This window comes from Homo sapiens, chromosome 10 (genome assembly GCF_000001405.40).
Source record: "Homo sapiens chromosome 10, GRCh38.p14 Primary Assembly".
Taxonomy (NCBI): domain Eukaryota; kingdom Metazoa; phylum Chordata; class Mammalia; order Primates; family Hominidae; genus Homo; species Homo sapiens.
In genome coordinates this window covers 7,532,854-7,548,384 of record NC_000010.11, presented here as the reverse complement: position 1 = coordinate 7,548,384, position 15,531 = coordinate 7,532,854, and the positions used below count along the sequence as shown (strand labels likewise).

Sequence of the window (15,531 nt, the reverse complement as noted above, 5' to 3'; positions counted from 1 at the left end):
ACGACGTCCTATTGCTGGGCACACCAGAAAATGGGAAAGGTGTGTGCCTCCCAGAGAATACTCTGAAAAACAAGTAGAGCCAGACTCCTGCCTGGAGCCTCTGAGATGCAGACCTCATGCGGCGCCCCACTCTGCCTTGCAGACACGGTCAGTGTTCTCAGTCTGAAGGACATATTATTTTATTGCTTTGAGGGCTCCTCAAGGAAATCCAAATATCTGAGAGAACCTTCTTTGTGAAGGATGACGCACAAGTCTGTTTGCCTCCACCCCATCCTGAGCGGAGGTGGCCCCAAGGCCAGTTTCCTGCCCTGGCCTGCGTGCCTGGCTGGGCAACTTTGTTCTGTTTTCAGGAACCCTTTTGGAGACACTTCAGTTCACTAGGACAGGCACGCTCTGCATCCCAGGACCAGCTCCAGCTCAGGATCTGGGATGAAGTCCAAAAAAACCTCCTGAGGTTGCGGGGGGAAGAGTCACAGTCACCACTTGATGACAGAGTAGCATCAACCCTGGGGTCTTAGGCACGGGGAAACCCTGTCTCTTGGGAGCTGAAATCCCCTTGCACTTCTACCCATTACCAGGAAACACAAAGGAACCTGGATATTAAGGATATAGCTCAAAATCGTGTATGGGAGAGGGAGGAGTGGGTCTTTGAGGACAGCGACGGGAGAGGGAGGAGCGGGGCTTTGAGGACAGCGACGGGAGAGGGAGGAGCGGGGCTTTGAGGACAGCAAATGCAAATGCTGTGGAGACAACACTTAAGGGCTTGTGGCCGTGGAGCACAGGGCAGAGCCTCCAAGTCCACGAAATTCCTCCAGCCTTCCAGTGCAAAGGGAGCTCTAGTGAGGTTTCATTTTCTGCCCTAATACATGTTTTGCCAAAACTCCTTCAAGATGAGTAAAATGGACAGGTTTATGTTCCTCTGGAGGACCAGAAAAATGGCGCCACTGTCAATGGCAGGTTAAATCCATGTAGTCAGTGCTTCGACAGCCAAGAGCTGGCTACACAGTCTTCCAACATGGGCCCCACATAATTAATTACACATGGATGATATCATTATTTCCGAAAGAGAGGGACACACGCCTCCATTCTTTTAGGTTGTATACAGACACAAAAATCAATAACACGGGCTCTCACTGTAAAGAAGCTATTCCCCGCTGAATCATTTTTCAATCCTGATTCTGACAAGGAAAAAGAGAAGTCCCAGATTTTCTGACTGTGCATTTCACACTTCTTGAATGTCTACTTCAATCAAGAAATGTCTGGACCTGGGCTCCAAAACCATCAGCAGGCCACGATATCCATCTGCAACTGAGAAACGTTTCGTTTTACAAACCAGTGAGACCAACAGGCTTACAGTAATGATTTAAGTCTTTTTTGCATAACAAACTTACAAAGTTTACTAAATCCACTTCGAGGAAAATATTGTCAATCATTGTCAGGGTAGTATAAGTTTATGGCAATAAAACCTCAAGGGTGGTAGAGGGATGACTTCAGACTGGGAAACACTTGGGCAAGATCTTTCCCTTCCCGACGCCACCCGCTGCTCTCCCACGCTGGCCTCCCTCTCCAGGACTTGCCTGACTATTTCAGAAAGGTCAGGACACCAGCAGAAGACCAAGCCAGAGGTGGGCATGGCTCAAACGGATGCTCTCCCCATCAACACATCGTTTCTACACCGCATCCTTGCACTGATGAGGCCAGTCTGTGGGCCACACTGAAAACCTCAACCCCTCATTAGCTTTCCCTCGGATTCCCTCACTTTGCAATAAAACTCTGAGCCAGGCTCAGCTCTGTGGAATCTCATTCATCAGCAATCACTCTAAGGCTAAGCAGGCCTCTGCCTGGGCTGCATGTGGGCAGATCAGATGTCCGGTGGCTGCTGATGTGGTGAGCACTGGCACAGAGCGATGTGGTGGTGACTTGAGGTCTCAGGAAAGAACTGGGGGTTTCCATTATCCTGGGCTTCCTGGGTAATGCAATCTGAAAATCAATTCTCATTAAACACAAGTGATACTAATACCTCTGACAGGTTACATCTTAAATGATAATTAAAAGCATATTTCCTGACACTTGGCTGCTATGAAATGCAGCCCTATTTATGCCACTGAGGAGGCCTCACAGTGAGGCCCTGTGGACAGCCCCCCCAGGAAGCGTCCGAGGTCCTGGATTGTCACTCATTATTTTAATCTGATTTTCTTTACTCAAGTAAAATAGAACCTGGCATTGGTGCTTTCTTTCACCACTTCCACCAGTGGTCCTTAAAAAACAGTTAACGTTGTCATAAGCCAAGGAATGAAGACTTCATCTTCCACTAACACAGTCTTTGGTTCTAGCCATGGATAGCGCTTATTAATAAGTGCAGCTGCATCCCACTAAGTTTTATAAACCTCTACAATTCATGAGAGCTGTGGCAGCTGAGACGTTACATCCTTCTCTGAGTGTCATGGTGGAAAGCATCTCAGTGTCTGAGGCCGTGGAGTGGGAAGTGGAGCTGCCAGGGTCCTCATGGACACAGACTTTCAGGAAAATATGAGTTTTTACAGTGGCCAGTCACAGTTCCTGATTTGGCACTTTTGGTATCAAAGTGTCTAATTTTATCTCAAAAATTTTCTATTGGGAATAATGGGAAGGTTCAATGTCTCCTACATTTGAACTGGACTTATTGATCATTAAAACAGATCATTAAAACAGAGGAATAGTCAACCAGACCCAAACAAGAAAAAACATATCCATCCTATGTTACATTAGCTTCCCAGGGCTGCCAAAACAAAGTACCACAAACGCAGAGGCTGAAAAGAGCAGAAATTGATCATCTCACAGTCTGGAGGCCGGAAGTCTGCAATCGAGGTGTTGGCAAGGTTGTGCTTTCTCCGAGGCCTCTAGAGAGGATCCTTCCTGCCTCCTCCAGCTCCTGGTTGCCCCATGCATTCCCTGGCTTGTGGCCACATTGCTCCAGTCTCTGCCTTTCTTTTAACCTGGCTATTTTCCCTGTGTTTTTTTCTTTTTCTTAAAAGACATCAGTCATCTTGGATTAGGGGCCCACCCTACTCCATTATGACCTCATGTTAACTAATTACTTTTTTTTTTTTTTTAGATGAAGTCTCACTCTGTCACCCAGGCTGGAGTGCAGTGGTACAATCTCAGTTCACTGCAACCTCTGCCGCCCGGGTTCAAGCGATTCTCCTGCCTCAGCCTCTTGAGTAGCTGGGATTACAGGCGTGAGCCACCGCACCCGGCCAACTAATTACATTTTTAACCACCCTATTTCTAAATAAGGTCACATTCCCAGCTGGGTGCCGTGGCTTACGCCTATAATCCCAGCATGTTGGGAGGCTGAGATAGGTGGATCACTTGAGGCCAGGAGTTCAAGACCAGCCTGGGTAACATGGTGAAACCCCATCTCTACTAAAAATATTAAAAAATTAGCTGGGCGTGGTGGTACATGCCTGTAGTCCCAGCTACTGGGGAGGCTGAGGCATGAGAATCTCTTGAACCCAGGAGGGGGAGGTTGCAGTGACCCAAGAACATGCCACTGTACTCCAGCCTGGATGACAGAGTGAGACTGTGTCTCAAAAAAAATAAAAATAAAAATAAAATAAAAATAAGGTCACATTGTGAGTTACTGGAGGTAAGGACATTAACACATATTTTTAGGTGACACAATTCAACCCATAAGACAGGTGGAAAGAGAGATTAGTTGATAAATGATGTTGGGATTACTGGATAACCATTTAACCACTGGAGGAGGGGGACACATCCGTAATTCTTTACCCTGCTCCTTACACTGAAATGCCAAATGGATCCAAGTTTTAAACGTGGAAAATCATGAAAGTATTAGAATGAGAACAGCCAACTCATAAGACTGACGGGCTGCCATGGTGTGAAAGTGCTTTACACACGTCAAAGCTGAACCCTCACAACAACCCTGCTATTATCTTCAGCTGAGGAAATGGAGGCAGGGAGAAGTTACATAATTTGCCTGAGATCACACAGCTGGGGAGTGCTACAGCTGGGTTCAAACAATGGCAGTCTGTGCTCTTAATCAATTCCATATGATGAGTACAATCTCGGAGGAAGGCAACTCTCATGTCCGGTGCTTACTTTATGCTCTTACGTAGTGCCTGGAAATCTTATAATGCATATAGGTTACTTGAAAATTTATAGGAAGATAATTTGCACCCTCTCTTTCCTCTTCCTCCTGCCTGCCACGGCCTTCCTTCCCAGGCACCCTCTTGGCAGGGCCTAATTAGATGGTTGATCTGCCCCAGATCTGCAGCTGAAGAAGCCTAGTAGCTTCTATGGTGAAACTTGCATTGGAACTACACCCTATTTCCATATCCTTCTGGAATTTTCCATTGATATGGTCTGGCTTCGTGTCCCCACCCTAATCTCATCTTGAATTGTACTCCCGTAATTCCCACATGTTGTGGGAGGGACCTGGTGGGAGATGACTTGAATCACGGGGGTGGTTTCACCCATACTGTTCTTGTGGTGGCAGATAAGTCTCACGAGATCTGATGGGTTTATCAGGGGTTTCCACTTTTGCATTTTCCTCATTTTCTCTTGCCGCCACCATGTATGAAATATCTTTCGCCTCCCACCATGATTCTGAGTCCTTCCCAGCTATGTGGAACTGTAAGTCCAATGAAACCTCTTTTTCTTCCCCGTCTTGGGCATGTCTTTATCAGCAATGTGAAAATGGACTAATACATCTGTTTTCTGTGATGCTGAGCCAAACGACTGCCTCTGATTGGGTCAAGTGCACACCCCCTTTCCAGGGTCTGCAGACGGCTTCCCGGGCATTTGTCTCCATCAGTCTTCTCAAAGGTGCAAGTGCTCGTGAGTCACCTGGAGAATGTGGTGCCAGGTCAATTCCGGTGTTGGGGGAGGGGCATGAGTCTCAGATCCTCTATTTCCAACACTCCCCCAAGGGAGGCCCACACAGATGCCTGTGGACTGTGCTTGGAGTAGCAAATGTCTAAATCTCTCTTCTCTATGAGCTCTAGCTGGTACAACTATGTCCGTCTGAAAATCAGGGCCGTGGACCTTTAACTAAAAAGACCAAAGAACCGAGACTGAAATGCTGTCCTAAAAATCTCTTTCCTAACATGCTCATAGGAGCGTGCCCCAGGGAAGATGAAGAAGAAGCTTAGGGCTGCCAAGCTTTCCTATTCAACTTGTTGAGACTTGGCCCCAAGAAATAAACCCCGCCAAAGCTCCCACGTGGAGGCAGGACTGGTAAAGTGGGGGGAGTCTCCACAGTTAGGCATTTGCCCAAAAAGACCAAGTGGCCAAAAAATAATGCACCACTACACTGATAGTTTGGGAGTTATCTGCTAAGTGTAAGTCCTTGTGCCAGACACACATTTATTTTGTTAATAACAGTAGAGAAATGGGGTAGTGCTCCAGGGTCTTAGAGTACACTTTTCTTCTGGGATCACAAAGTGCTTTAAAGATAATATCTTATCCCTATGCAAAAACAGCCATCTCTTCCCCTTGCCAGAGGAAAGATACTACCAAATGATGTCTTAATGATCACCTAAGCGTGATGGCAGAGTCACAGCCAATAACCAAGGCTCTAGACTCTCACTTCTGTGAGTGCTTATTGCTAAGTTCGCATTAGCAGGGAAAGAAAAGGTACTGGCATGTACTGAACCCCATTCACCAGGCACTTTGTCAGGTCCTTCTTACAGGGGATTGCATCAGAGTAAACAAGGGACCAGAATCAAACTACTAACTCAACCTACTGATATTCAAAGTAAATATTGATTACGGATATAGAAAGTCATTATTCCATATAGTATATTAGGAGAGTGGGGCATCACAGGCAAAACACCATCTTTGTGGTCACCAAAAAGTTGCTGGAAGATTAAGGGATTCTGAAATGGCACCCTTGACACTTTACTGGTATATGTCCACTACTGCAAACACTGAGATATTTGTTTTATGCTATTTAAACAGATACGTGCCACATACTTGTTAGGTAAGCACAAAGCCTGTTAATTAGGGGACATGAACATAAGCAGGAATGATAATGACGTCTGTCTTCAAGGAACCTACTGTTTGGTAGAAAGATAAGAAAGGCAAGTATATAATAATTTCATCATTTACCAGCTGGGGAAGTTGAAAAATGATATTTAGATATCCTCTCTGTTTTGGGAAGTAGGACGGATCATGGAAGCAGCCAGGAGGAATCAGCAAGGGAAGATGAGATGGGGTCGGTTTGGGGCAGAGGATGCCCCCTGCACACTGAGGAGTAGTACACCCACTCCAGCAGCCTGGCAAACCCAGCAGCACTCACTCACACTGACCCTGTCTCCCTAGAAGCCCCGTCTCTGCTGCAGGTGGAGTTTGCAGCCAGCAGGAGGATTCCCATCAGCCCTGTCAACGTTATCACCAGTTCTGAGTAAGGAGCAGTGGTGAACTTTGTTCCCTGGGTCACTGGAACTCCAGTAGAATTGCTGATTAAAATGGGCTGTCAGGCCACCCAGGGATTCCAGGCCACGCCTACCGCACTCCACTCATGCCAGAGGGGACCTTCTTTTCAATGACACATACAGGTCCCAGATGGTGGGTAGCCTACCACTGCCAAGAAGTAAAAAATCCCCAAAAACTCCACTTCAAATTAAGTTTCTGAATTCCTTGGTGTTCTTTTGTAGACAAAGTAGAGTAGAGACGTTTGCAAATCTCTTCCTGAACCCTTGAACCGTAAGAGTTAGCCCATGCGGGTCCACCAGTCATTACTCACCTCTCCTCCTACTCGCATTCCACCCCCTACAGCTCCTGGAATCTCCCGGAGGTGAGAATCCCTGAGGCCCAAACACTCAGAACACCCTGCAAACTCCCAAAGCCCCGCCGAAAAGACAGGGGGAAGGGGGCGTTCAGGACTTTCCCTTTCGGATCTTGGGCCTGCGCTCATGTACTGGCCTGGTCTTAGCCAGTTAAACTCTCACACGCAAAACCCAGAATTCCAATCCCAAAGGGTCCTTGATCCCTCTCCAGCCTGTCTCGCATCATGCAGGGCAAACTGTCCAAGCAGGCCTGCTTGGGATGTGGGCCGGCTGTGTTATGGAAACACTGCACGGGGCCATGGCAACAGCAACGGCAGCCCCATCCTCCCCTCCTGGGAGACGTGAGCCCAGATGCCTGCACACAGGACCAGCCGTCTGCACAGGCAACCTTATTCTAACAAGGAATGAGCCTACGTGGCCTTTGGACAGTGAATGACTCCACAGGTCCTAAGAGCCATACCTGTGGTTACAGTCGTGGGATACAAAGAAGGAAAGAGACATACTTGTTTCAGCTCCATTTTCCTCTGCATAGGATAGCTTTGCTTTTTGGATAAGGAAGAGAATTTATGTCAGGCTTTCACTCCTTTCTTTGTATGTGACACTATTGAGGCCTCCCCACCCATGCACCTACTGTTTGCACGCTGTTTGGTGATAAGCCATGGGGTTTTCTCCCAGGAAACCAACTGTCTCTGTCCTCAGGTAGTTTACCATCAGACGTGAAAAACACCAAATGAGGCTTCTTTTTGAACTTTAATCTTTGCTTTAAAAATATAAAGGGAGTGAAATGGTGCAACTAACACGCTACAGTAAATTTATTTTTCACCCAGTCAATCACATAGCTGTTATTTGTCAACTGATAATGGAAACAAAAGTCTGTTATCTGTGAATGGAGACCTGGTGGCCAGTGGCCGGTGGTATCAACTTGCATCTCTCCTAAACCTAACATCCTTCCAGGGTGCATTTTACTGTCGCAAATTGGTGAGGGCTTTAGACAATCAATACAAAGTAATCATAAGATTAAATTAATAGAACACAATTTGGAAAGGATGGCTTGGCATGAAGACAACATGTCATGTTCTAAACCAAAAAGTGGATTGTTCCCTTTTTGGATATGTAATATAATGGTTCCATTCCTCTACATTCTCTATCTCTCTCTCTTTTTTTTTTTTTTTTTTTTTTGAGACAGAGTCTCACTCTGTCACCCAGGCTGGAGAGCAGTAGTGCAATCTCAGCTCACTGCAACCTCTTCCTCCCAGGTACAAGCGATTCTCATGCCTCAGCCTCCCAAGTAGCTGGGATTATAGGTGCTCACTACCACGCCTGGCTAATTTTTTGTATTTTTAGCAGAGATGGGGTTTCGCCATGTTGGCCAGGCTGGTCTCGAACTCCTGACCTCAAGTGATCTTCCTGCCTCGGCCTCCCAAAGTGCTGGCATTACAGGCACCGGCCCCCTCTCCTTTTTATCTCCAGGGTGTCCACAGCTGCTGAGCACATCTTGAGATCTGCTTTGTGCTTCTAATCAAGGCACATTCTTTAAGTTTTTGGGGATGGAGGGAGGGTCCACTACCCCCTCTGCCAAGGGTGTTCCTGAAGCCAGCTGGGAGCAGGAATTGTAAGCAAGGAGATGGGAGGGGAACAAACACAGATTCTCTCCCCACTGGGCTGTGCAGATTAAGAGAGATACATAAACTCCAGTCCACTGGGAAAACAGCGTAAGTTCATAGAAATTGCCTATGACAAATCAGAGGCATTGCATTAGATGGAGCTGGAGTGCTTTGTGGGAAGGACTTTTAGACTCCTTCCAAAAAATAAACCCCAAGGCTCACTCTCAGTCACTTTGCTAATTCTAACCAGTATTAACTTGACCTGATAGAGACTTAATTCCCACCCACTCCCAGTTTTTGGAGCAACTTGAAGTAGCCCTTCCTTTCACCCTCCCACCATCTATCTGCTCTTCTCCCACACAAAGGCACTAAATGAGGAGCACCCAACCAGATTCCATGAATTCTCACCCTTCCCATCTTCTCTCTTTCTCACCACACCCAGAGTTCAATGCCTTAGTGCATTTTATGCTTACCTCTAAACAATTATGAAACAGTCCAATTCTTTCCACCCCCAGAGGTACGAAACCGTGATTGCATGAAGATCAGATAAACAAAACCAAATCTGACATTTATTTTCCTGTCTTTGAAGGGCAACTGAGCACTCCCGTGAGATGTCACATCCTTCTAATAGGTCAGGGGGCTGCAGTTTTCTTCCATGTTGATATGTAGCCCAGGGAGACTAACTTTACGGTGACGTCATGAATGTATAATCAAATCAAGAACCATTCACTGAATGCCCACTCTGTGCATGACACAGGGAGAGGGGCCAAGGGCCTATTATCTGGTTTTGAGGCAAACAGGCACACAAGGAAATTAACTCATGAGAGGAGGAAGTATATCAAGGCTCTGTCGGTGCTACAGGAAGTAAAAGTTCAGAGAAGAGAGAGAATATTGTGAACTAGAGCAGCTAGAGGAGGCATGGGGTGAGGGTATGGTTGGGCAGAAGCCAAAAGGGGAGGCAGAAATACCCAACACCTACTGTGAGAAGACAGCCCTTCCTGGGACAGATGGAAGGTTGGCATTAGAGAGGGGTGGGACATCATATCATGGTGGCAAAGGTCATCTGCTCTTTAGAGTGTCCAACTTCCATAAAGAATAATTCATATGGCTTTCTGGGGCAATCCTGCACCGTGGATTCTGAGGCCAATTGTATTTTCCAAAAAGGGACACTGCACTATTTCTAGTCCCACATGCTCTTCTGTACCTTGCCACTATGCCCAGCAAGAGGTAGGATCTATTTTGCCATTCCATTGAATTCAGGTGGGCCTTTGTGGTCATCTCGATGAATAGATGGCAATGGAAGTGAGGCTACATGGCTCTTGAGACAGGTCACAAACAGTGATACAGCTGCTGTCCTCTCTCTCTTAGGACACTCATCATTGAAATCCAGCCGCCATGTTGTGAGGAAGCACATGGTGCTTCCATGTTGTGAGGTCACATCGTGAGGCCACGCGTAGCTGTCCGGCAGACAAGCCTAGCTCAGGTCCTAGCCAAAAGTCAGTGTGAATCCCTGGGCATGTGAATGACTGAGCTTCAGATAATTTTAGCCCCCTGCCTTTGAACTGTCCCGGCTGACAGTGAGCAGAGCAGAGACAAGCTTTCCTTGTCAAGCCCTGCCTGAATTGCAGATTCAAGAGCAAAATAAGTGTTTTTGTTGTTTTTCGCCGCTATGTTTGGGGATAGTTTGTTACACAGTACTTGATAAATGGAACAGATTCCATATCTACCCCTTACTTAGTTGTACTAAAACTCCAACAGGAAATCAGAGTATCTGAAAATTCAGCCATGTTAAAGTGACACTATGATTGAATGTATATTGCTTTTTGTTTCAATGATGCTGATAAACTTGTTTTTCGGGTTCAATTTTCTACTTAGGCTGCATTAGGAGAATGCTTTACTTCTCTTTATCTAAACTTTTCTTCTTGTTCCTGTAGCTCAGTGATGAGTAGTGGCTTAGAGCTTTGTCTACGTTACTGTAGTGGCCTCTCCAGCAAGGCAGTTCCTAAGACTTTGGAGGCAGAGTCACCTAGCTTCATTTAAAAGCAAACAAACAAAAAATTCTTCTAGTTGCAAGTCTCTGTGATCTTCCACGTTCTGACGTGCTGATGCCTGACCAGTTGCAAACATTCATTATCCCTTGTCATTTAAGTAAGGTGAGCATAAAATGGCAGCAAGGTCAAATGTCAGCATGGTGTTGGCAAGTGTCATGGAGCCATCCTGATTGATAAGGTCTGTGTGGGCAGCTGGAAATTAACTCATACTCAGTCCCCACCTAAAATAACAGGAGGTACCAGAATCCCCTTCCATCCAAGGTTTCCCAGCATGGAATTCACTGCTGGGCCTGCAGTTTCCCGTTATCCACTCCCTAGAGCTCTATAAATTTTCTTCTTGTTTTGCTATTTGACCCTCTTGATTTAACAACTACAAAAAAGGCAACAAACTCCAAAGGAAAGTTCAAGGAAGCTTCAATTAACACTTTTCAAATGGAGCTACAAATAGGAAATAGGGTGGCACCATGGTTAAGGACTTTGGAGTTAGAGCCCCAGGTGGCCCTGAGCCCTGGAGCCTTAGCCCTGGCCAAATTATGTAGCCTGGGAGAGCCTGGCTTCCTTCATCTTTAAGATGGAGATAAGACAACCTCACCCCATTGGATTGCTGTGAAGCTTGAATGAGAAAATACCACGTGAAAACACCAGGCCTGGCTTCCAGGAGGACCTCAGTGGATGTGAGTGACTGTTGCATTGGATCAGAGAGGAATCACTAGGATTCTTCAGGTCTTTTGTAACTTTCTAGAAGTCCACTTTAATATGCAGTAAAACCAATGTGACGCAGGGTAAGTAGGCATCAGTGTATTTCAGGGACGCAATCACGATTTAGCCGAGCCCCAACCAGATGATAGAGTTGGAAATGCTCTCTGAAAGATCTCGTCAGGGTAATTATGGTGGAGGTGCTCCCTTCGTAGGGATGATATTAAAAACAGACTCATCTTTCTGTCTTAGTGCAAAGTTTCTCACAAAGAAAAACAAAAACAAAACTACTTTCAAGCACTCAAAAATTGCAACAGAGTGAACTCTTTGGTCCTCTACCTTAGGACCGCGGCTCTCATTGTTTGGTGGGCATCAGGTTCATCATGAAACCCACAGACCCACTACCCTGCTCCAGACCTGCTGAATCAGATTCTCCAGGTTTCAAGTTTTTAAAGTTCCAGAGGCGATTCACACCGTAGGCTACTGACTATCTGCTGTGCCAGGATCTCCAAGGAATTTGAGTGAGGTATTGAGATAGGAAACAAGATGTGTGATCATTCTCAAAGGGAAAGGCAAGGCTTTGAGGGATGGGCATTGCTTTCAGGGATGAGAAATCCTTTAGCAGAAATGGGCCTAGGCTCAAGAGCTCATGATCCTCCTGTTGCATCTCACCTGTTGGAGCATCATTGGTTCATTTATTGATTGATTCATTCATTCTTGTGCACATTCAACAAGGGCTTGAGTGATCACTTCATTTCAAGGACAGCTGCCCTATCACGCAGGCACTAGGATGGCCCCATTTGACAGCCTTTGTGTAAAATGTAAATAAATGCATGGCATGGTCCCTTCCTTGGAGGAGCTTCCAACATTAAATCAACAGCATTATGATCTTAGGGTTGTTCCACCTGGAAAACCATGAGGCCTATGTGTGAGGCATGTTAGGAAGTAGGGAGAAGCTGATAGACATTTAAAGGACCAAATTATTTTAAAATAGCAGAAAATACCAGCACAAACTCAAACAGGACAGAGACAAGAAAAAGAGGGTGAGAGAATAAACCTTCTATTTAGCATAGACCTCTATTAAGCAAACTGCTCAAACTAATAAGTTAACACAATTTTTTTTGTTTTTGTTTTTGTTTTTGTTTTTTTTGACTGAGTCTCTCTCTGTTGCCCAGGCTGGAGTGCAGTGGTGCAATCTCGGCTCACTGCAACCTCTACCTCCCAGGTTGAAGCAATTCTTCTGCCTCAGCCTCCCATATAGCTGGGATTACAGGTGCCTGCCACCACGCCCGGCTAATTTTTTGTATTTTTAGTACAGACAGTTTAGTAGGGGTTTCACCACATTGGCCAGGCTGGTCTCGATCTCCTGACCTCAGGTGATCCGCCCACCTCAGCCTCCCAAAGTGCTGGCATTACAGGCATGAGCCACCATGCCCAGCCATTTAACACAGAATTTTTACCAAGTGAGCTATAGCAAATTTTCTTGAACTTGTGCTAAGTTTTGTGGTCTGGTTATAAATAAAGAATGTCTAACAATGATCCCAAGAAAAGCTGTGCTAGAGTTTTCGGCCGCTCTGAGAACTCTTGTTGCCCCCTTGCGGGATGGTTAGAAAAATATTAAAACAGAAGCACTAATAGACCCCAAATATATTTTCAATGACAGCAAGTTAAAATGAACTTTTGACAAATGGCACAACCCATCTGAGCTACCTCAAAGTGGGTGCCATGAACCGAGGCTGAGAATCACCTACGGGCTGGTGTCTTATTGATAATCCCACAGCCCAGAGTTAAGCAACCGATGCTAGGACAAAACTTTGGATATGGGAGCTGCAGGACGAGGAAATCAGACTGGAGTTGAGTGAGGGAAGTGGGCTTCTGCCTCTGGTACTAACCACTGGACTACATAGAGAAAGTCACTTAATGTACCTGAGTCCAGGCACAGTGATGTACACCTGTAATCCCAGCACTTTGGGAGGCAGAGGCAGGCAAATAGCTTGAGCCCAGGATTTCGAGACCAGCCTGGGCAACATAGTGGGACTCTGTCTCCATAAAAAATTTAAAAATTAGCCGGGTGTGGTGTTTTGCATCTGTAGTCCCAGCTGCTCGGGAGGCTGAGGCAGGAGGATCAATTGAGCCTGGGAGGTTGAGGCTACAGTGAGTTGTTATCATGCCACCGCACTCCAGCCTGGGTCATAGCGTCAGGAGTTTGAGATCAGCCTGAGCAACATGGCAAAATCCCATCTCTACTAAAAATACAAAAATAAGCTGGGTGTGGTGGTGTGCTCCTGCAGACCCAGACACTCGGGAGGCTGAGATGGAAGGATCTCTTGAGCCTGGAAGTTTGAGGCTGTAGTGAGCTGTGATCATACCACTGTAGTCCAGCCAGGGTGACACAGCAAGACCCTGTCTCAAAACAAAAAAAGTACTCAAGTTTCTGTTTTCTCTATCTGGGGAAAAAAATAACTCCAAGACGTGTTGTGAAGACCAAAGAACACAAGAGATATGAAAATAATTCCAAATATAGAGCACCCTCCAAACGTTAATGATTATTATATATTTTCATTACTGCCTAAGGAACCTGAAACTATTCAGTGGTCAAGAGAGCAGCTTCGAGAGTTGATCTGCTGAATTCTAGTGGGAGGACTTCAGGCCCTCCCTCCAAGGCGTTTGGCTGAAATTTTGAGAGAAACTGAAAACCTTGGCAGTTGGTCACTTTATATTAACTCAGGGAAATGGACGTACATCAGGAGTCTTAAGAGGAAAGGTAGGAACATAAAATCACCAGTTTCAGGAAGCTTCTGGGAACAGCTGTGGGCATGGCCAGGAGAATCTTTTCTCTAGTTTTTCTTTGTTAGCTTGCGACCCTACTTTTGTTTTTGTAAACCTCAATGGTCATGCTTAGCATAGACATCTTTCCCCCCACATCTAGGCTAGAACCTAAATAGAATTGCTCACCTTTCATTCAGACTCCGTTATAATAGGGGAAACCAAAACCAACAGCGGTGCTGCATCTTTGATCTTCAAGAAGATTCCATAAATAAACTGAGAAGAGCTATTCTAATTTCACAAGGATGTCTCCATAGGCATCTGGCAGAGTCTGCAGACTGGCTCACACAGTGTGTATTCCAGCCTCTCTCTGGGGCGCCTTCCTGTGCTGTAGAGGGTGGGAGGAATTTGTTAGAGTCCCATGCAACAGGGCACACACGTGATGGTGAATTTTATGCATTAACTTGGCTGGGCCACAGTGCCCTCATGTTTAGTCAAATACTATTCTGGATTTTTCCATAAGGGTGTTTGTTTTGGGATGAAATGAACATTTCAATCAGTGGGCTTTGAGTAAAGCAGATTGTCCTCTGTGAAGTGGGAGGGGCTCATCTCATCAGTTGAGGGCCTGAATAGAACAAAAGACTGACCTCCTCCAAGCAAGAAAGAATTCTGTCAGCAGACAACATTTGAACTGGAGCTCCACCATTAGCTCTCCTGGGTCTCTAGCCCGCAGACCCACCCTGCGGATTTTAGACTTGTCAAGCCTCCATTGCTGTGTGAGCAGCTTCCTTGTAATAAATCTCTCTCTCTCTCTCTCTCTCTCCACTCACACACACACACACACACACACACGCACATGCGCGTGTGTTGTTTCTCTGGAGAACTGGCATACAAGGCACCTAATACCTAATTCAGGTCACCTAAAATGGAATTGCCATTTCCCCATCAGGAACAATTGCTTGGGACTCGAATTCTGAACTGACCTGGGGAGGGGAAGTGGGATGAAGGGCAGCACTGAGCGGGTGTGCACGCAGCAGCAACAGTCACATGCAGGGCTGGCCTGCAGGCAGGCGGCTCTCCGGTGACGACAGAATCTCAGCTTCTTGGTGGCCCCTTTCTGCTGTGTGGCTTTGGGAGGCAGCCTGGAGTGTCTTCAATTTCTTCAGCACCCCCCGCCCCCGCAGTGATGCTGGGAGTCACTGAAAGCCGGTAATCAATCCTCCTCTGTGTAACTAGCCGGGGCAGACTCTGCTGTCTGCAAGTGAACCCTGACCAGCACAGCACATCGGTCATTTTAGCTCCTGAAGCTCCTATTGTCATCTGAGCGCAGGAGCCGAGGTGACCCAACAAAGAACCTTCTATGAAGGCCCACACTGTGAGAAATTAAGTGGAAGCTCTGAACGCACAGAAACTGCACAGCAGCGTCTCCTGTGATACGGAGGCTGAATCCCCCAGGCTGGATTTCCTCGGTCACTTCTCATACTCTCCACACTCCCCAGTAAGGAATCATCCTCACATGCCACCATACAGGAGGCTAATTTCACTCCCGACTGTACAGTGGCATCCCACAGTGGCATCCAAGACAAACATCATCAGGGACCTGGGCAAAGGGCAAGGGGACGA

The 15,531-nt window shown here is 46.4% G+C and overlaps 2 long non-coding RNA genes across 2 annotated transcripts, besides 2 other annotated features; both read right to left on the bottom strand.

Annotated features, from left to right (window-relative positions):
- Positions 1-163: 163 nt before the first annotated feature.
- LOC105376391 (uncharacterized) lies at positions 164-6,986 on the bottom strand. Its single transcript, XR_930632.2, has 2 exons — positions 6,749-6,986; positions 164-1,308 (listed from the first exon to the last, which is right to left on the bottom strand). It is a non-coding gene; the product is annotated as an uncharacterized LOC105376391 (long non-coding RNA).
- Positions 6,037-6,896: an enhancer, noted in NCBI's record as "H3K27ac-H3K4me1 hESC enhancer chr10:7583451-7584310 (GRCh37/hg19 assembly coordinates)". NCBI's record gives its function as "activates a minimal SCP1, AML or CMV promoter by ChIP-STARR-seq in primed H9 embryonic stem cells {active_cell/tissue: H9 hESC(primed)}" and the evidence as "EXISTENCE:reporter gene assay evidence [ECO:0000049][PMID:30033119]".
- Positions 8,834-10,033: an enhancer, noted in NCBI's record as "CDK7 strongly-dependent group 2 enhancer chr10:7580314-7581513 (GRCh37/hg19 assembly coordinates)". NCBI's record gives its function as "activates an origin of replication core promoter dependent on BRD2, BRD4, P300/CBP, MED14 and CDK7 cofactors, with strong dependence on CDK7, by STARR-seq in HCT116 cells {active_cell/tissue: HCT116}" and the evidence as "EXISTENCE:reporter gene assay evidence [ECO:0000049][PMID:35650434]".
- On the bottom strand, positions 10,776-15,004 carry LOC105376390 (uncharacterized). The gene is made up of 3 exons (NR_188188.1): positions 14,892-15,004; positions 14,098-14,296; positions 10,776-12,047 (listed from the first exon to the last, which is right to left on the bottom strand). It is a non-coding gene; the product is annotated as an uncharacterized LOC105376390 (long non-coding RNA).
- Between the last annotated feature and the right edge of the window lie 527 nt (positions 15,005-15,531).